The 22,389-nt window shown below is 33.9% G+C and overlaps 1 protein-coding gene across 4 annotated transcripts in view; it reads right to left on the reverse strand.

The window, feature by feature from the left end:
- Positions 1-22,389, reverse strand: part of KHDRBS2 (KH RNA binding domain containing, signal transduction associated 2) — a 743,556-nt gene that overhangs the window by 104,761 nt on the left and 616,406 nt on the right. For 3 of the 4 annotated variants that reach the window (NR_146870.2, NR_146874.3, NR_146871.3), the window contains 3 exons: positions 13,852-13,934; positions 11,687-11,720; positions 4,825-4,887 (listed from right to left, as the gene is read on the reverse strand). The gene's annotated coding sequence lies outside the window, so the exon portion shown is untranslated. The remainder of the gene's footprint in view (positions 1-4,824; positions 4,888-11,686; positions 11,721-13,851; positions 13,935-22,389) is intronic. The other variant, NR_146873.3, reaches the window with a different exon arrangement.

Genomic DNA, 22,389 nt, shown 5'->3' on the forward strand with positions numbered 1-22,389 from the left:
TATCTATAATTGTAGATAATTATATAACATGATACAGAACTCCAATGTTTGTTAACCATTCCTCCCTGCCATAGATATGAATCGTCTTCAGTTATTAGTTGTGATGCACAGGATTAAAAAATAGATTATAAGATGCACTTAGTTTCTAAATTCTGAAATCAGGCGCTTCTCATAATCAATATTCAAAAAATTGCTGATTATATTTTATACAAAAAGTTTTCATTTAATGTATGACATGTATTGCAACCAACTTTGTTTCATAGCTAAAGAAGTAGAGGATATTGTATCATCATTTTTCCAGAGATCTTTTGTGGGTATGTTTGTATCACTCAATTAGCCTCCATGATCTTTTATGCATTCCAGCTATTTATTTTTGCTATGAAGTACTTATTAACTCTTATTCTACCTTAATCAGTAAATGCCATGATGTAGAGGTCACAGACTTCACAATATTAGTTAGTTTTGGTTTTCAATGGCCAAATTATGAACTATGAACAAGTATCTTGGTAAAAAATAGGTGGAAGCAATAACCTAAGTCATAACATGCTTGGACCAACCTTGCTCCCTTAAATAAAAGTAAAAAAATAACAGCACTGATATCACAAAGGGGGGTTCTAATTAGGAATAGAAAATCATCTCAGATTCAGATCTTATATAAGTTGACCTAAAATCCTATTTTTTCTTTTATTTTACATTTAAGAAATCAAAACCAAATTAATATAATAATATTATAAGATAAAATTTAAACTAGCCCTCAATTATGCCATCTTGAGTTTTTATGGAACTAGGTGCCTTGCTAATTGCTTGAGATATTTTTATATTATTCCATTTTCTCCCTATATTATTCCTGTGGTACAATACATGTGAGTTCAATATCCTAATGTCTTTGTTTAGATAAGGCTAGAATCTAACTTCACATTGAGAAGAAAGAATGGATAGTAATACCATCATCATGAAAATGAAAAGTATCCTAACCTTCCCCAGTCATTTGAAGTCCTCTATCACTACATTATCATCATGAGCCTTTTCCACAGCTATTCTAATATGTTCAGATTGCCCATTCATTCAGAAAATATTTATTTTGCCCTGTGTGTCAGGTGCTGTGCTAGATTCCTCGAATTTAGAGATGAACACACGTTCTGCCTCCAAGGACAGCACCATATGAAGACAGACAATCAGAGACTTTCAATAATATGTGGCAAAGCAATTATATAGAAAAGTCATAGAAACAGAAAACAAGGCGGTCATTCTAACCATCCTGACTGGGGAGGGAAGGAGACAGTTTTATCTCAAAGAAGCCAACGTGTGGCCTGAGTAAAATATAAATAGAAATTGATCAAGTGGTAATATTTGTATATTTTTCCTTTTTACTGGATCTCAAATTTTATAACACGTCAGATTTAGTGCGGCCCTCCTACCTTATTTTTAGGCACTCTTCCTGAAGTAGTATCATTGATTCTTTTGGCCTTAATTTCATCTCTATGCTAAGTATTTCCATCCCTATGCTAATTATTTCCATCCAGATAGATATCTCCAGGGTATATCTTTCTGAGCTTTTGTAGGGGATTTTGTGGTTGATCAAGGGGAAAAAAATAAAGGTGGCAGTAGCTTTACCGGGGGCTGCTTTGACAGGTTCTCACGTGGAGGAAGTCCTTCACAGCAGGAGTCTGTCTAGTAGCTAAGGGTCAGGGTCACCACTCAGAAGGGAAGGAGTGCAAGGGAACTCCTAGGAGAGAGGGGGCTTATGTGTTAAGGCAATGTTGCTCAGTGGCATGGTGGGGAGTCTGTGTCAAAGAGCTCCAAAAGGCAGTAGTGGCTTGGGTCTTTATGACCCATGGGATTTAGCTACTGCTAGCAGATGTGGGGTGAAGTTTTGTGGGATATGCAAAACAGCCAGATTTTAAATGGCTAAAAATATGTTTATGTAGCCTATTTTAAAAACAAATGCATGTGTAAACATTTGATTTAATCCCCTGGTGGGCTTTTGGGCTAGTGGGTGTCAGCCTATATTGAGGAAGTAACAACCTGGGGGCCAATACGCAGAGGCCATCTTTGGCTCATTTATATAACAGCTTCACATCAGTATAAATCAGTATAATCAAATGCCTATTTATCATCTCCACTGGGGTGTCACATAAATATCATGAAATTAACCTAATGAAGATAGAACTGGTACTTCAACAATTTTTCTTTCTTAGTAAATAGAACTATCATGTAAGACTTGAGGCAGAAACTTAAGGATCATACATAATTCCTCCATTTCCAATCCAAACCATCACAAAATTCTTTCATTTCTACCTCCTAATTGTCTCTCATCTCTAGTTATTGATAGCTACATAACCAACACTCAAGGCTAAGCTACATATATCTCTTGTTTGGATTACTCTAATGTTCTGCTAGATTGTCTTCTTATTTTGGTCATATCTCCTTTCCATAGGTTCTTCTTACAGCAACCAGGGTTATCTTTTGAAACATGTAGAGATCATGCTAGCTCTTTGCTTACGTACCTTGTAACAGTGCCCTGTTCCACCCTGAGAATATGCAAATTAGAAAAACCCTGCATCTTCAGACCTGTAATTCTCCCTCCAAGCCCCAGTTGCTCACCAGTGTCCAGCTACAGGCTCAATGACTCATGCATGTTCTTTTCCATAGCAGGGCCTCTGCACTGCTATTCTTTCTGCCTGCATTATGCAGCTCCAGCAATTTGAGTGACTGGTTCCTTTTCTTCCTTCAGGTGTTGCTTAAATGTCACTTCCTCAGAGATGCCTTATGTAATTTGCCTAACACTTCCCTCAACCTCCCCACCTCTCATCCCCATTATTTTCTCTCCTGCTTTCCATTTATTTCTGGCATAACAATGATTTCAGTTTGTAACTTAAATATTATGTGTTTTGTTTATTGCTCCAAACTCTCTCTAGGCTTCATGCAAGCAGATTCTTTGTCTGTCATGCCTTGTTCACTGCTTTTTTTAAAAAAATGTTTTTTTTTTTTAATCAGGTGTCTAGTGCAGTGCTGGCACACAGTAGAATCTAACTAAATATTTGTTAATTGAAATACAAACATAAATTCATAAAAATAAGTGAATAAGCACAGTCAGATGGGAAAGGTCTCTCTTTTTAAGGGTTAACGATGTTATTATCTTATGCTGTACAGTCAAATACATGAAAAACTTAATGCCTTTTTTTTTTTTAATTAGGCCAAGGATCTAAACAACTATGGGGACTATGAATAGCCCTTGAATGAACACATTTGAAAATCATAGAGTTAAACCAATTACAATTCCTTAGCAAGGCTGGGGGTACTAAAAAGTACATTGTAATCAGTTGTTCTCCAAATTTTGTAGACCAAAGAAGATAAAATAAGAGTAATTATCATCATTAGGTGTCTAGAAGATGTATGAGGAAAAGTTTTCTATTGGGGGTAAGAATTAGAAAGAAAAACTTTATTAACAGGACATAAAAATATCTGAGAATCCTGACTTTCTACCATGCTGTTTTACATTTCTGAGGCATCTCTGGCTATGTTCCCTTTTCCTTCTTACTATTTCCAATGTGTACATTCTCTCTGTTTTCCTTGCTTAGTCTTAATGGAAATTCAACCATTCTGTATTAGAAGTAAAGCTGTCTTAATGTGGAGATGGTGACAGAAATAATAATACAAATAATAAGAATATGATTGATAAACATTTATTGAGTGTTTCCTATGTGCTAGACATTATTCTAAGGGCTTTAGGTGCTCTAACTGGTTTAATGCTAAAACAAAGCCTATGACTTAGGGACAGAGTGAGCATTCCTTATTTGAAATGCATGGGAATAGAGATGTTTTGGATTTCAATTTTTTTTAGATTTTGGAATATTTGCTATAATAGATACTTGCTACATAATGAGATATCCTGGGGATGGAACCCAAGTCTAAACATGAAATTTATTTATGTTTTATGTACATCTTATATACATAGCCTGAAAGTAATTTTATTTTCCTCTTGGGGATGCTGAATAAACTATGTGTTTTGCACCTACATTTTGACTGCAACTAGTCACATGAGGTCAGGTGTGAAATTTTCCTCTTGTGGCATTATATGGTGCTCAAAAAGTTTCAGATTTTGTAGAATTTTGGACTTTGGATTAGGTCTGCTTGGCCTGAATTATTATGATGTTCATTTTACAAATGAAAAAACAGAGGCAAAGTAAGATTACATATCTTGTCCACAATCTCACAGCTAGAAAATTGTGGAACCAGGACTTGAAACCAAGCCTTCTGGCTCACAATCCTTGTCATTAATAACCACAGTCAATACTTACTCCTGTAATTATGTTCCACTCTTGTTTAGTCATCAGAATTTTTTATTTAGGAGGAATAAGTGCATATGCTATAAGTATGTTCTAAAGATATCCAGATTGTACTGGTAAAGAAGTGGGAGGCTGTAACAGTAGATATAGGAATGCCCAATTAGCTTTTTTGCTATACTACTTGGAAGTCATTAGCTTTTTAATTGTAATATTCATAGATTTCATTTGTGGGTAGCACCAACAGTGGACAGCAGAGATTTTCTTTACTTCCCCTTTCCCTTCTCCAGGTAAAAACAAACTGAGACATCTGGAAACTCCTTTCTAGGATAAGACATGTTATAAACCTATGAAATTTTGGAGTGGAGAGAAGAAAATTGGCTCGTTTGTTTTTCCCTGTTCCTAATTCTCTCCTCTCTATGCTTTTTGTTCAGTAAAACCTAAGATCTGATATAATTAATAATTGGAAAGAAATCTTCACTGTCGTAGATACATTCGTTCACCTTTTATTTATTTAACAAATATTTATGATACCTACTTCTGTTAGGCTCTGTGTCAGGCTTGGATCCGTAGTGGTGAGGTGAGTTGAGATGAAGAAAATCTGTGGAGAAAAAAAGAAGATGAAAACATGAAACAAACACAGATGTACGCTCATAGGTATGATGTGATTTTTGTATGTATTACTTATACATATACATGCATCTACTTTATATTTACTATATATTTTACATATTTATATATAATTTAAACTTATTCACTTTATGTGCTTATTCTATACATGTTTTACATGTGTATATAGTTACAAATTATCACAAGTGCTATGAAGGAAATGAACAGGTTATTTGACAGATAACAAATTATTAATGATGGGAACTACTAGAAGGGCAACAGTGAGTCCCTGGAAAGAGCCAAGTTAGGAATATTACTTGATTCAAAGAAAAGTGGCAAAGGGGACTTGAACTCCCTGTGCTTCATAGCCTAGCTCCCAGAATCCCTGGTCTGGAATAAAGGAACCACCCAGAGCTGTGTCCTGTGTGGGTGACCAAAATGCCCATGGATGTAGCCATGGGCACAGAGTGAGCACATCAGTGTGCTCATTTTGAAGGAACTAAACATACCAGCACAGATTGGTAAAATCTAGAAGACATTTAGTTTACAAGCCTCTGTTGTGAACATGCCGTGAGGAGATATAAAAGAAAAAGTACCTTTGACTGCAAAGCTCTGAGTCTAATTGGGTAGAATAAACAGATGCATGAGAAATGACACCGGAGGCAATGGACCAAAATGTGCAAAGAGAGCTATTATAAATGGAATAAACAGAGCATGGCTGAGCTCATCCTTTTTAAAGGAAATGAGTTAGAGACATGGCATTTACTTAATTGATGGTGGAGTCAGTGAGAATATATTTAGATGGACACTGAAAATAACAGCTTAAATTTAGGAAGACAAACACAGAGAGAGGATGCAATTTCTAGTGAAAAATAAGGTAAACAAGATAAGGAGTTGAAAAGCTTTGTTCTAAACTTGTTAAAGTGCCTCTGTTCCTCTGAAGTGCCTGTTTACCTTATGTATCAATGATATTCAACAAAGATAAAACTTCTGTGGACAGGGTATAAACACTAGGCATCTTCTGAAATAACAAGTCTGTTACATGTTTGTTAGTAAATATTCCTAGTTCTAAAAATATTTTAAAATAAAAACCTTCTATTTGAAAATCCTAATACTAAAATTTGTCCAGCATGAGAGGCCTTGGAACTTTCAGTGTTGTTCAGAATGAGCTTAACAAATACTATTTGAATGATTTCTAGGTGCCAAGGAAGTTAGTGGACACTAGGAATGCAAAGATAAAACAGTCCTTCCTTTATGGAACTTCAAGTCTAATGTGAAACTGAGAGACAGAGAGAGAGAGAGAGAGAGAGAGAGGTAAATATACCATTTCATAAAACGCTCTATGGAGGCACAAATTGAGGCTACAAATCAATGCTTCCCAGACAGTGACTGGGAGAGTTCAGAGAATACTACTGCAAGGATAGTTACTTGGCTTAGAATTTATAACATAGCAAAAGAAAGTAAAATAAAAAAGATCATTTGGGGAAGAAGGAGCAGTGTAATAGGACGGGTATACAGAAAAATGGTGAAAAAATTTATAAAATACTATTTTTAGAAACTCAGCAAGATCGCAATGTTTCAACATTCAAAGTCCAAAATAAGTTTAACAAATTCATGGAACACACAACCCTACTTTGGCAGCTTTGGATTAAGAATATATTTACAGGATTAATTTAAGCTTTTAAGATACTACGTTGCTTTGTGGCCCAAATTTCCTTCCTCAAAAAAAAAGCATAAGGAATAGAATTTTAGAATGATAATAACTAACAGGTCCATACTTCAGTCCTGCTATTCTCATATGTGGAAATAGATCTGGAGACCCTATCATTCTTTGTGAGTTACTAGAAAGGGCGCTAACATTTGATAGACCAACCACCTATAAATCAGTTCCTTTCAGTGAATTTGAGGGATGTGGCCTGAAGAAGGTTAATAATCGAGTATAATTTTTGAGTGTCTTGTGACACTAATGTTAGCAGAAACATAGAAAAATACTTTCTGCCAACATCTCAGGAATATAGTGCAGACTCAAGGTAGAATCATCATTTAACTAGAGGAGGAGAGCTGTAAAGGGAACAATGATTGCTAGTGTTCATGAACCAGAAATCTCTGGAATCTTCAGGATGGATACGGGAGAGAGAACTGCACTTCTGTTGTTTGCTCAAGAATCCAGTATGGGCAAGTGACCTGTGTCAGACCTTGGGTCAAACAGGGTTCAATTAGGAAAATAGGGTTCAGTTGAAGTAGTTAAAGGACTATAATGCAGGGGCTTAGTTACAGCAAGAAATGGGTAATGAAAGAGACAAGAAACCAATAGAGAAAAGGTTCACTTCTTGTCTCTTTCATTACCCATTTCTTCTCTGAGTTGCTCAACTCAGAAATTAGTAACAGGAGCAAGTCGTAACTAACCCTAAGCTGGAGGGACACAGGACAGGACAAGAAGATGCTTCTATAAATAACACAGGAGCCTTGGATTACCTGCTGGGAACTGGAACTGTGGCAAACTTGAGTCGTGAGAGGCAGAGTGGGGAAAAGATACAGCTGCTGCTGGGGAAGGCGCAGGAGGCAAAGTGAATGTTGGGAAAATAACCTGACTTCTACCTTTTTCTCAATCTCATAGGCTCCTGCCAGGGTACTTACCCCCAAATCCTCATTGGCAGAAGCCAGTTGCAAGCTAGCTGAGACAGCTTTCTGGGAAATGAAACCTCAGGGGTCAGATCTCCCTCCCGCTAACTGAGCCAGAGAAAGGGCAAAAAGTGGATTCAAAGGCAAACATGCCCAGAAACAACACAAAACCCAATAAGGAGAGTTTAGGTTATAGAAATCCCAGGACTATCCTGTGGAATAGGAAGGTCTGTATTCCAAACACTAGGTTCTTAGAACGTTTAAATACATACATACATACACACACACACACACACACACACACACACACACACTATTTATTTCTTGAGAAGGAGTTTTGCACTGTCGCCCAGACTGGAGTGCAGTGGTGCAATTTGGCTCCCTGCAACCTCCACCTACTAGTTTAAGTGATACTCCTGCCTCAGCCTCCCAAGTAGCTGGGGTTACAGGTATGCGCCACCACATCCAGCTAATTTTTTGTATTTTTAGTAGAGACAGGGTTTCACCATGTTGGTCAGGCTGGTCTTGAACTCCTGACCTCAGGTGATCCATCCGCCTTGGTCTCCCAAAGTGTTGGGATTACAGGCATGAGCCAATGTGCTTTGCCTAAATACGTATTTTTAAGACATATTTTTTTTCTGCTTTATGTGACCAGAAGGGCAATGGGAAAAGGGAACGTGTCCATGCACAACCAAAAAATTACTTTTAATTTGGCTAGAAATGCTCATCACAGAAGACAAACTGATTTATTTTTCTCTAAAAGAAATTGCAATGTTAATATCCTATTTTATAAAACTTAGCCTACATGTAAGATTTTTTATTTGTTGAAGTAGTCCATTTCACACATCAGAAAATCCTTGAATTGTCAAAGAAAGGCTTATTTGCCTAAATAACTATGTTGGCCTGACACTGAGATGTGGAGTTTGTTTGAAGTTTTTGTACATTTAGTGACCAGAGGTATTTTGATAAACGCCATTGCCTCAAAGTATTCAGTAGGAAGTTTGGGCCCCATCTGTGTTTGTTTCTGTAGGAGCAGTAACTGCCTAGAGAGAAATCTGATGTTCATTTCAGATATGCAGTATAAACAAAATTCAAGATGATGCCTTTAACATAATTATTCCACCTTTCATTTACATAGTGCTTTATGCATTTCAAAGAGATTTGATGTGATTTCATTTAACGGATCTTTACAAAACTTGTGGAAATTGAGTATGGGCTTCTGAGATATAAAAGCTCAACAAGGAAAATAACACTGAATTTAGGCAGTCTTTTAAGAGAAGATTGTAAAAACCATATAGCCTCATCTCTTGTTGCTACTAATAGAATATACTTATTGAGAACCTTCTCTGGCAGGCACTTTTTTGAGTGCATCATATATATTAACTCATTCATCATCAGAAAAATCCTATGAAGTTCTCATTTTAAGGATAAGAAGACAAAAGGACAGAGAGGTTAATTGACAACTAATAAAAGATTTGAGCCTAGGCAGTCTAACAAAATACTGTGTCTCTTAAGCAGTGTCTTCTTTAAATATTTACTCAGCAAGTAACATCCCTAATTACAGAGACGTATATTTATATTGCGTCTCTTTTTACTTCTAAAATGTGCATGTAACTCAGTGGTGTGCTGGTAAACTGGCTCTCTGCAAAATAATTAAAAAGTCCAGATTTGTAACATTCCCCAATTTCTATGGTATAAGTAGACACACCAGGGTCTACTTCAAGCTACCAAAATGAAGTCATTGAACTTTAGTTGAGAAGAGATGCACACGTTTGGATCCTATGAGCTTGTATGCGCCGGTGCCAGCACATCACTGACTGATTAAAATTACGGTTGTATTCAAGATGACGTATATACCATGCACGTGATGGCCTACTTTTGAAACATTCCTAAAACAGAAATTCTTTAGATTTTCAGCTGTTTTATGCCACCCAATATGAATTAAACTGTTTTAGATATGTTCTTATTTAATCATTGCTTATAAAGAATTATGTAATCATGTTTATTTTGGATTTGTTTTCTCCTGAGGAAAAACAGACTTGTCTAGGGTGAAGCAATCACAAGGCACCTGGAGAAAGGAGTGGGGAAGCCGAAAAAGTGCAACTACTCAAAAGATGGTCCATAGAGAGAGTAGATTACAGGAATCCTGTCCTGTAACAACAGCTTCTGCCCAAGCTCCATCCTCTGGATCTTACCTGTCCCTTTCCTGATACCAAAGTAAGTGGCTGTCATCATTATCAAAGTAGTCTCACACTGAAAATGTTTTTACACATGGATGTCCACAGCTAAGCATTGTAAGATGCCCTCGACTTTTACCCTTATTTTCAAAAGTAGAACAATGAAAATCAAAGCTTTCTATCATCAAGTCACCGTACTATTTTCCCATCTGTGTTTTGTTTTCATTCTTTCTTCTTCTTATTTTCACCCTATGAAACTGTTTCCAAAAGTATTGTAAAATTCCACTGGGAACATATGAACATCTGACATCGTTTCCACGACAACAACCAAAAAGCAAAAGAACCCTGGCTTGACTGGTGCTGGAAAGACATATGCAACATAAGCAAAATAGTTTTTGTGATCTTTTCACTGTGCCTTTAAAGCTCCATTAACACCCCAAACCAAAACAGTGACAAAACAAACGTGTCCTACAAAAAATGTTGGTTAGCAGATAGAGCTTGGGAAAGCTTTGGAAGCCTTTCTCCTGATCATTGGCAGGTTTGGTGACTTCAGTGCTCCCTGTGGAAGGACTGATCTGAGAAGAGTGGTTTACCAGCTGCTGTGGGCATAAACTTAGAACGAGAACTCTCCTGCTGTTAAAAAGGAGCTCTCCTGCAATTCTCATATGCCTTTTCCACCTGTCCTTCCTTCCCTTGTCTTTTTCTTGGAAAGAAAAAACCTAAAAGCTTTCTCCTATAAGCTAATGATTGTGAGTCTTTGTCAGAACATTGGTTCTGGGTCAAGAAACAAATAGATGAACAAACCAAAACTTTCATAGCAAAAGTTCTTAAGCCTTCAAATGGACACCAGTGAAATTTGCCCCACAAGGTGGAATAAATAAAGCAAATAAATCCAAATGTCTAATTCATTCAACAAACAAATATATATTATGCATAGGCTAGTCCACTATGCTAAATATCTAAGAATTCAAATTTGAATAAAACATAAATCCTGCCCTTTGGTAGTTTGCAGCCTAAATTGCATTTATTAGCTGTGATTAGATTTCCTTATTATTGATATTAATATAAATACTATAATATACAAGTTTTCAGGCAAGCTTTCAAACCTGATTTTCATATAGCCATATCACAGATATATTAGAAAATAATTGAACATTTCCAGGTATTTATTGTTTTATTTACTATTCCAGCCCAATCCAATTAGGAATGTGAAATGCAGATAAAAACCTTAAAGATAAAATTTTATTTTGGGCTAAATAAGAAAAAGAAATAAATGTTTCTTTTACTTTCTGTCCACATCTGACCTTCCATTCAAATCCTATCTCTTCTCTAAAGCCATGTTTTTATATCCCAGCCAAAATTAATTTTTAAAATCTGCATAATTAACTTATCAATATGTTACACATATATTTTAATCCCCTGGTTGTTATCCATAGTACACCTCAAAATCACCTGTGGAATTTTAAAAACACACATTTCCAGGTTCTAACCTCAAAACTTACTTAGTCAATGCAGTAGGGTCCTGACATCTGTAGTTTTAAAACACACCATGCATGATGCTGATATGCATACGCAGTTAAGAACCACTGTTCAGATTACACTATAAAATTTGGCATTTTAAAATAGTACACAATCCACATTTGTGGATTTATATTCTTGTATTCCCAAGTGAATTGTAATCATCTTTTGCATATAGGCACAGATTTACATTAACTTTGTTCTTTGCAGTATACAGAACTTACTCTGCACTAGTAAAAATTTCCACACTTTTTATTTGAAAATACGACAAGGAATTTCAACAATCTCTATACAACACTATTATATCTGTTTTTATATTGATATTCTTTATACAGTCGTGGAACAAATTTGATTATCAGCAAATGTTATTTATTCATGTTTAATACTGCTTTTCAGAAAAGTTCCTAAATTATGGTAATTTATAGAGAGTTTCAGAGACAGATGATCTCTCTAGCATAGTGGAGTTAAACTTACATTGGTTCAAATCCAAATTATCTTCTTTTTTGGCCTATGGTAAGGAGAAAAATAGAAGAAAATATGTTTACAAAAATATATAAAGTGCATGCCCTTATTAAGCACTCAATGCACAATAGTTAATATAAACATGAGGTGCTGAGTAAGTCCCTTTGTCCCCAAGAATTTTTCCTAGCATCCAGATTCCATGTCTTATATCCTGATAATCAAGTACTCCTAGAGACAGCTAGGGATAAGAATGTCAGAGCTGGAGAGGCCTGCTGAAACGAGTTAATGCCCCAAGCTTCATTTGTAACCTATGAACCAATTTAGGGCTCATAGTTAAAGCAATCATATACATTCATGGGGTTCAAATGTTCTGCCTTGCACTGCTGTTTTTAGGGTCAGTGATATAACAAAGGGAAAGTCCCAATCTTGCATAAACTAGTCACTCAACAAATCACAGTTATTTTTATTAATATAGTAAAATTAATATCCTGAACTAAAACCCAAATGAATTTTAGTTCACTTCGGTGTTCTTTTCTTGCATCTTAAAATCCACAGTCCTTATAAAAATATAGTTACAACATCTAGGAAGAATAGCAAATGAGAAGTATTGATAATCTTTGAGTGTATTAAAAAAAAACAAAGCTAATTCTATCAGCCAGCAAAGAAGAAGATAGCATAACCATCTTCTGGCACACGATGTTATAAAGTCAGACCTTCGTCTGGATTAAGGTTGGGCCCATTATGTGAGCAGGCCATACTGTTTAACCTCTTTAACTCTTTGTTTCTTCTAATGTAAAATGGGGGAAATAAAATACTTGCCTCACTGGGTTATTATGAAGAATTCATTATACATGAAAGCACTCAAAGTCTCTGACAAATAGCAAGCTTCCAATAAGGTTATTGGTTATTATTGTTGACATGTTATTATTATTTATAGATAAAACTACCATAATTTCTCATCCCTACTGGGACACATCTGAGAGTAAAATGTAGTGCTAATGATTATGACCCTAAAACAACAGGCGTAAACCAGGACGTATGGTCACTTTATACACAGTGTAGTTCGTAACTGACAGTGAATTCCAAAGAGAGTGTTATATTGTACAGGAGAATTTACGTGGAACTCTGAAAAGAGTTTGGAAAGATGTTAAGTATGGATCAGATTCAAGATGGTCATAAAGAGAAGATACTGTTTTCTTCCAAACTCCTCTGAGACAAAATGGAAGGAGGCACAATGTTTCTATAGTATCCATAACTGTTCTCAACTCTTCCCTAAGGTCTTTCTGAATATCAGGTCCTGGGAAATGTACTTTCATTAAAAAAATTACTTAAGTTCTTTTAAGAAAAAATTCCTGAAATATATCTTACACAATTTCCTATCTCATTAAGCAAATGTAAGTGTAATTTATACTCCCCAGGTAGTTATTTTAAAATACAAGAATATACAAGGAAGAAAACAGAAATGTATCTTCCAAATCATCTGTATCTCTGATCAGCCATACGTTTATTTCTCCTTTTGTTTCAGAACAAATTAGAATTAAAGGAAGGAACAAATAATTATAGTCCTATTCTACTGGGTTCTGTTCTACCCTACTCCATTCCATCCCATTTCATTCTACAAAGATTTATTGGAAGTCCCTATATCTTGGCCTTCTCCAGTGAAATTGAACTTCTCCTCTAATAAAAAAAGGTGATACTTGGCAGGATGAGTACAGTCATACTTTAGGCAAAGGCTCGATAAAGAGCCATCATGTATGGTGGATGACATTTCTTCTCCACAGAAACTTTTTGTCCCCCATCCTCCTTACTGTGAAAAACAGTGTGAACATTCATCACATTCTCTGAACAAAATATATTTTTTTATTAGTTGATTATTGCTTTTGTTTTTCTTTGTAATACAGGAATTTATAACCTCATGTTCTGATGAATAAGACACACAGAAATTGTGTGCATATGAAAGTCACCACATTACCACTATGCTGCTACAATGTAGAATAAAACTAAAAGAGTTTCTCACTGGTTTGACATTAATTTAATGTCTCCACTTAGCTTCCATCTGATGCAAACAGCTACTTTATCCATTTAAACATATATGTCTGGGTCCATAATGAAGTGTTCTGTACCTGTCTTGTAAGCAGAGTTCATAAATGAAATCACAAATAGATGAAGGGACTCACCTCCATTGTTAAAAACATTAAACCTCCAAACAGCCAGTCTTGGGTTTATTCCAGTTTTTCGTTTTTCTATCATACATCTTCACCTACAGTCCCAGATGAGCAGAACAGCTTTAAGCATTGTGCAATTACACATACAGGCATCTATAAGGCATTCTCATATTGGATGTCAATCAGTCTCATGGCAAATTTAATAACAGTAGCAGTTGTCAAGCATACCCAAAATAAACTAAATTATCCATCCAACCTTTTGTATTTAAGGGCTTTTTATATTATGTGTTTTAGAAAAACACTTTCACTTTCAGCAGTGTCCTATCTATGATCAGTCTCTCCTGAGAGGTTTTTTAAATAAGATGGAATGATTCACAATTGCTTCACAGAGAATAAAATACCTACGAATCCAACTTACAAGGGACATGAAGGACCTCTTCAAGGAGAACTACAAACCACTGCTCAATGAAATAAAAGAGGATACAAACAAATGGAAGAACATTCCATGCTCATGGGTAGGAAGAATCAATATCGTGAAAATGGCCATACTGCCTAAGGTAATTTATAGATTCAATGCCATCCCCATCAAGCTACCAATGACTTTATTCACAGAATTGGGAAAAGCTACTTTAAAGTTCATATGGAACCAAAAAAGAGCCCGCATCGCCAAGCCAATCCTAAGCCAAAAGAACAAAGCTGGAGGCATCACACTACCTGACTTCAAACTATACTACAATGCTACAGTAACCAAAACAGCATGGTACTGGTACCAAAACAGAGATATAGACAAATGGAACAGAACAGAGCCCTCAGAAATAATGCTGCATATCTACAACTATCTGATCTTTGACAAACCTGAGAAAAACAAGCAATGGGGAAAGGATTCCCTATTTAATAAATGGTGCTGGGAAAACTGTCTAGCCATATGTAGAAAGCTGAAACTGGACCCCTTCCTTACATCTTATACAAAAATTAATTCGAGATGGATTAAAGACTTACATGTTAGACCTAAAACCATAAAAACCCTAGAAGAAAACCTAGGCATTACCATTCAGGACATAGGCATGGGCAAGGACTTCATGTCTAAAACACCAAAAGCAATGGCAACAAAAGCCAAAATTGACAAATGGGATCTAATTAAACTAAAGAGCTTCTGCACAGCAAAAGAAACTACCATCAGAGTGAACAGGCAACCTACAGAATGGGAGAAAATTTTTGCAATGTACTCATCTGACTAAGGGCTAATATCCAGAATCTACAATGAACTCAAACAAATTTACAAGAAAAAAAACAAACAACCCCATCAACAAGTGGGTGAAGGATATGAACAGACACTTCTCAAAAGAAGACATTTATGCAGCCAAAAAACACATGAAAAAATGCTCATCATCACTGGCCATCAGAGAAATGCAAATCAAAACCACAATGAGGTACCATCTCACACCAGTTAGAATGGCGATCATTAAAAAGTCAGGAAACAACAGGTGCTGGAGAGGATGTGGAGAAATAGGAACACTTTTACACTGTTGGTGGGACTGTAAACTAGTTCAACCATTGTGGAAGTCAGTGTGGTGATTCCTCAGGGATCTAGAACTAGAAATACCATTTGACCCAGCCATCCCATTACTGGGTATATACCCAAAGGATTATAAATCATGCTGCTATAAAGACACATGCACACGTATGTTTATAGCGGCACTATTCACAATAGCAAAGACTTGGAACCAACCTAAATGTCCAACAATGATAGACTGGATGAAGAAAATGTGGCACAAATACACCACGGAATACTATGCAGCCATAAAAAATGATGAGTTCATGTCCTTTGTAGGGACATGGATGAAACTGGAAACCATCATTCTAAGCAAACTATCGCAAGGACAAAAAACCAAACGCCGCGTGTTCTCACTCATAGGTGGGAATTGAACAAGGAGAACACCTGGACACAGGAAGGGGAACATCACACACCAGGGCCTGTTGTGGGGTGGGGGGAGGGGGGAGGGATTGCATTAGGAGATATACCTAATGCTAAATGATGAGTTAATGGATGCAGCACACCAACATGGCACATGTATACATATGTAACAAACCTGCACATTGTGCACATGTACCCTAAAACTTAAAGTATAATAATAATAAAATTAAATTAAAAAAATAAAAATAAAAATAAAATACGATTGAAGATAATGACAAACATTAGTCATTACCATTAGCATAAGGCATGAGACACCATATATATATATATATATATATATATGCAGCTGGGACATGGCAGTAGAAATCTGACTACCTATGGCTTGGGCAAGCTTCTGACTACCGCTGACCATTATTTTGTAAAGTGAAACTGGTTAAGTCTGGTAGCAGTATCCTTAATGGCACGTGTATCATAAGACCTTATTGTTTTCCACCACACGGTATGGAGCTTAATGTCCTCTATTAACTGAAAACAAACAGTTATACTGCTTAATGACTGTTCAATTAATGTTTATGTGCTACTTTTACACCCTGAATTATTTGATGAATAAACTTTAAGATGTCACTTGAAAACTAAGTTTAATGAAACCTCAACTACTATTAAAAATTCCTGGGATTCTTATAGTATCTCACATTATCAGTTAGGGAGTAAAGAGCATATATCAATATTCAAAAATGTACACTCATGTAAAAATGAAAGAAAAATCAAAAGTTTGGAAAGAATTGATGTATGTGGCTTGACTCTTGCTGCCTTGTAATTGAAAATCAAAACAGGGTTAAAATAGAAATAACCGGGTCAAACCAGTCAAAGGTGAAACTTGGTTTATTATACCAGAAAGGCTTAACCTTTGTATTTCAATTGTTTTCTGAACTTGTAACACCACACTTACTGATCTTTCTACTTTTCTTATATAAAAGCTAGCATTTTAAAAGTACAAGCAGATTAGATGTTTTAATTCAACACCCTTCCTTGGGTAGAAGTTTTATAAAATTACTGAAAATATAGTATCAATGGAAGGTTGACATATTTGAATTTATGAGAAAAAATGACTTCTGAATTTTGTAGCATTTTGGATATAGCAGTATTATATTTATCCATTGTTATTCATTCTAATATATCCAAATACTGGGAAAATTAGTTAACAATACCCCTTATTGTCCCAAATTTAGTTGGGAATCATCTGACATAGGAAAAAAACAACAACAAGAACTGAGGAAAAGACAGTGCCCATTTCCTTTTGGAAAACAGGCATCCTTTAACACCATGCATGGTATTTGCAAATCCTGATGTATACATATTTTAACAGAACTGTAGCCATCTTCTCCTTCCTGTACTGTGGTTTTACAGATCAACATTAGGTTCATAAACACGGACAAATTAGATGCAAGTTTAAGAGATGTCAAGCCTTCTTGATAACTTCCTGCTAAGAACACAACTGGAAAATGACAAATTTATCATATACCTGATGGGTAGAAGAAGTTTAAAGTTGACTGCTTTTGATTACAAAGCAATGAGTTTTTCATTCTTTAGTATATTTTGCATTTCTTAAACACTGTTTCACTGAAATATATTTGGTTAAATTGATTTGAATTTGATTAGTTTAGCACTATAGTTTTAATATCTGTAATAAATAAAGGTGTGTCTATGGTGTTACAACACATTAAAAATATTTTGGCTGAGCAATTAACTTACTTCTAATTTTTAAATATATACCTATTGGATATTAACACAATTTATTTGTAATTTAAAAGATATACTTTTTCTAATTCTACATATTGTTAGCTAATATAATTCATGCTCTAATTCATGTCTAGTCTATTTTTGATGTTACATAAAAATTTGTGTTTGGTATGCATTTCATAAAGGAGTTGAATTATAAATTCTAATTTTACTTCCAATTAAAAATAAATATAGTATGTTTCTCCAGTTATTTTATAGCTAATTTTCATATGTCAGAAATTAAAATAGAAGAAAATATTTTAGGAAATAGAGTATTGGACATACGGTTTAGGTATTATCATGTTAATATAGGACATAAATCACTGGTTTTAAATGTTGCCAGAAGTATTAGGAAATATTTAAGTGTTTTACTACAATGTAAGGGTATATTTTTAAGTGTAAGAGGAGTTGCATCACTTATAAGTAATGCTTGCATTCTCAGAAAAACCAGGGAGAAGAAAGAGTTAACAGGTTGTTGGCTAATTCTGGCAAGTGTCCTATTTGAATAGATGATCAGTTCAATAGATAATACTTATTTCTAAACTTTACTGGCTTAATGTAGAAAAAAATAAACTTTCAAAACTGTGTAATCAATAAAATTAGAAGGTTGGTAAGTATATGATATAGAAAATAGAAAAATTACATAAATAATGTTCTATTAAAGTCTGAAATACAATCTTATTCATTTATGTAAGTAAGTGCTGGTAAAATCTGAATATCTTTTGAAGGAAAAAAAAATCCAGAATTAAATGTATTACAAAACTGATGTTCTGTGTAATATAAAGAATACTTTAATTTTTAATTATAAAGATTATTCACAGTTTTTACTCTAATAATTTAATTTTGAAATTTAATTCCATCATAATGAATAGTTATCAACAAATTAATAGATGGTGCTTAGTTCTGAAATTTCTGTTCTCAAGTTATAGTTTCACATTTTATACATTGAAAATAATTTTAAAAAACTATTATACTTAGGAACCAAAAGTCTGACAAGTTGAATAGTTATATTTTGATGTTGCTTATGATTTTATTAAGATCAAAACTATTAGTCATATATACAAATCACTTGAGAAGTGAGATATGTGTTATTTCTGTTACTTGATAAGTCTATGAATTGACTAAATGCAGCTGTAAAACATTAATGCTATCATAGCATTATTTTGAGAAAGAAGGTATACTTCTATTGCAACAAAATAAATCCTACTTGGAAAATAAATACAATAGAGCACTTATGTCTTCACATTTCTAAAAACATATCCAGAGAATAAAATAATGCCTAAATATTTACCAAATATCATTATCAAATAATTTAGCTTTATAAATAAATACACATTCTAGAAACATTCTTTAGCATGTAAAATATTATTATAGTATTTTTGCTGTGGACATTGTAGACATACTTGAAGTTATTTTTCATTTACACTGTGTTTCTAGACCCTTCCTTCTACGTTGCAGGATGAGAATAGGTGGTGGGGGAAATTTTATTACCAAATATATATATTTGTTTCACAATTTGCAACTTAGGGTCCACTTCCTAATACAAAAGTGCATTTCCTGATTCTTGCAGTTAACCAGAAATCTGTCTGCTTCTGAGTACACCAGACCCTGAAGTGTACAGCACAGTGGAACTATCTGACCACAGGAATGAAAATTCAGAAACTTGTGTCGAATTTGAAAATAGAGTAAGCCTAAGACTTTGAAATATGTTGCTTTTATATTGAAAAAGCTTTTTTTCTTATTAAACAATATAATACAGCAAATTAATTGTAAAACACTAAACTCTCTAATTATTTGCCATGTATTGCTTCAACAATGGTTTTGTGACAAATAGGTATTTCTGGGTCCTTGCAATGCACTTTAGCAATAAAGGTGGACAGAGATAAATTAGATCAAATAGTAGAATCCTCCAGATGGCTACACTTTCATGGAAGAAGCCCAAGTCTCTGAACTGCTAAATGAAATTGTTTAGTAAATTAAATTAAGATCAACTGCTGACCTGTTTAATTTAGACACAAACCTTCTGGGTTTTTTTTTTTTTTTTCTCAAAAGAAGGATTCTTGGTTGAAAATTAGAAAACTTCTGTGAATGTTCTGGCTTTTGCAAACCAAACAAAAATTAGACTTTTAAACTCATTTAAAAACGTCAATTATCCAATAGCCGCAAAGTACTTTTTTTTTTTTTTAAGATGGAAGGACAAATGTAAGGAAGTATATAAAAATAATGACAAAAGTTATGTTAATTTTTATCTAGTGGTAGAATAACAACTATATTCTCTTTTTTTAATGAAGTTCTTGTAATAGTAGATCCTAAAGAAATGAAATCACAATTCTGATATTTTAAACATAAATTAGAATGTTTCCATTTATTTATGACTGTCTCACATTTTTAATTAATTTCAATTCTATTCTTCCCCAGCTAAAGTTTTATGCAATTTATCAAAAATCATAAACAGTACATAAGAAGTATTTTAAGACCAGAAAAGATGGAAGCATATTGATATTTATTCATTTAATTAAATTTGAAAAATGTCTCTCTTCAACTTGGACCAATATACCAGTTAAGAAAAAAACCATTAAGCCTTTTCCTAAGAGGGCTCCAATTTTTGCATCAGAAAGGTAAAGCCTGGCTGCTTTTCTGCAAAATATTTCTTCGTCATCTTTAAACCAAGATACTGCAGTTGATGTCATTTTTCCTTATGTGACAGCTAGCAATATATTTAGCACAGCAGACTATTTGGCATTCACTGAATATTTTTTAACTAAATTGTCATGAGGCTACTTTCTTCTGAACCTACTTCATTTAGTCACAGGCTAGCATTACTAGCATTATTTGCAGGGTGAAGTGTTTTCTTGGGTGATACAATGAAATGGTAGAATTAGTGATGGAAAATTATGTGGATTCAATAAATCATTTGAATATTACTTAAAATATTCAAATATCTTGGAATTAAATCCTGAGAAAATTAGTGGTTATCTCCTACTTCTGAGGAATCAAATAAACTCATCACTAAGTTTTACCTATGAGTAATTAAGTTTTTAAAATACTCTATGCTAGGTATTTCCTATTAATCTAAATATAACAAATAAAAAATGCATTTTTATCGAGAACTTTATATTGTTAAGGCTTGCAAGAGGGTCTATTTTTTACCTCACAATATATAGTATTATATACCAAAATACAGAACTCTTAAAATGTAGGTTCAAAAACACTGTCTCTCAAACATCAATATATTTATAAAATAGTGTGGTAAAATGACTTTGGTATACCTTTGGCATGCATAGATTTAGTAGTCCTATTTTTTAATATCTCTGGACAAATCTTAAGGTGCATAATATGCAGTATTTATAATTTTCTAAAAATACAAATTTTATTTAACAGACAAGTGAGAGGCTGGTATAAATTTTTATTCTTTACCTAACACTGGACACAGACATTTTCCAAAATGATAAAAGAAAAATCTGCTGGTGGAAGTAAAAGGAAAGTGTGTAATGGTCTAAGAAAGTAATTATTCTGAGACAGAAAAAAGAAGCTCCAGATGTATTCAGGAGTTGAATGTTCTTTTTTCACTGTAAAGGGAATGCATATTTTAAGTATCTAACGTTATTGTTTTATGTGATAAACAGTACAAGATGGCAATTTATGAGAATTATTAGATCTCAGGACATTACATTCCCTAAAGGATGTAAGGAGAGGTGTATCTTTTGTTTTTCACATTACTATCTGTTTAATCCCAGCACTTCTAATGGATATCAGCTTTTAAGCTACATTCTTTTTCTTTCCAAATCTTTTTCCTTGTTTTTATATTCACCTTCACTTTGGTATCCTATTACTAAATATAATAAGGTATAAAATATATTTTAGTAGTGGGTATCATCAGATTGGAAAAGAGATAAATGGAAAACTCCATTTTATTTTTGCAGTCACACAGACTGGGACAAATCAATACAATACAGGATGCTGTTAGTAAACAAATAAGTAACCATGACTATTTTTCTAGAGGGACAATTTCCCATTTATTTTCATTTTTCATGGAGATTTTATGTTATTATATTGTTTAGGATATCTCAACCTCCACAAAGCCTAAATTCTATACTTAGATACACATAGCTTCCATTTAATCAATGGTAAATAGGCAAATATAGACAGGCATAATATACATGATGATTAGGGTTACTGTACAGGACTCAATATCTTGAGCCAATATCAACTTTATACTTAGGGTTGTTGAGAAAATAAATGAAATAATTCTCAAAAACACAACAGTCTTGACAGGTAGTATGCACTTAATTATTTAAAATGTCTTTTTCTTCAGATTATTATTATTACGGAAACAATTGTTAGTCTCACTTTCATTTTTACCCCTGACTCTTTCATTGTAAACAATATATATGCAACATCATTGTAAGGATTCTTATATATAAACATACCTTATAGTACCTATTATAAATACATCCAATATATATTTGCTTATAAATATAATGATGATTTCTTAACAACTTCTAAAGGCTACATTAGCTAAATATTTTAAAGAGAACATTATAAAAATGTTTAAGGTGTTTAAATGTTAAATATATTTAAACATATTAATATGTTTATAGACTTAATTTTTATTTACACGTTTGATATATATCTTGGATATTTTAAAGTAAAAATGTTAGCCCAAGAAAAAATAACTAACTTGGGGAAGATATTTACTAAACTTGGGAGAATATACACAAACCTGCATGATTTTAATTAACATAGCTCATAATTCTATGAGTATGTACTATTATTATCACCATTTTACCTATAAGAAATTTAAGCTTGAAAAGATAAAGATATTTTGCTCACACTCTAGAGTGTGTACTATGGAT

This window comes from Homo sapiens, chromosome 6 (genome assembly GCF_000001405.40).
Source record: "Homo sapiens chromosome 6, GRCh38.p14 Primary Assembly".
Lineage (NCBI taxonomy): Eukaryota > Metazoa > Chordata > Mammalia > Primates > Hominidae > Homo > Homo sapiens.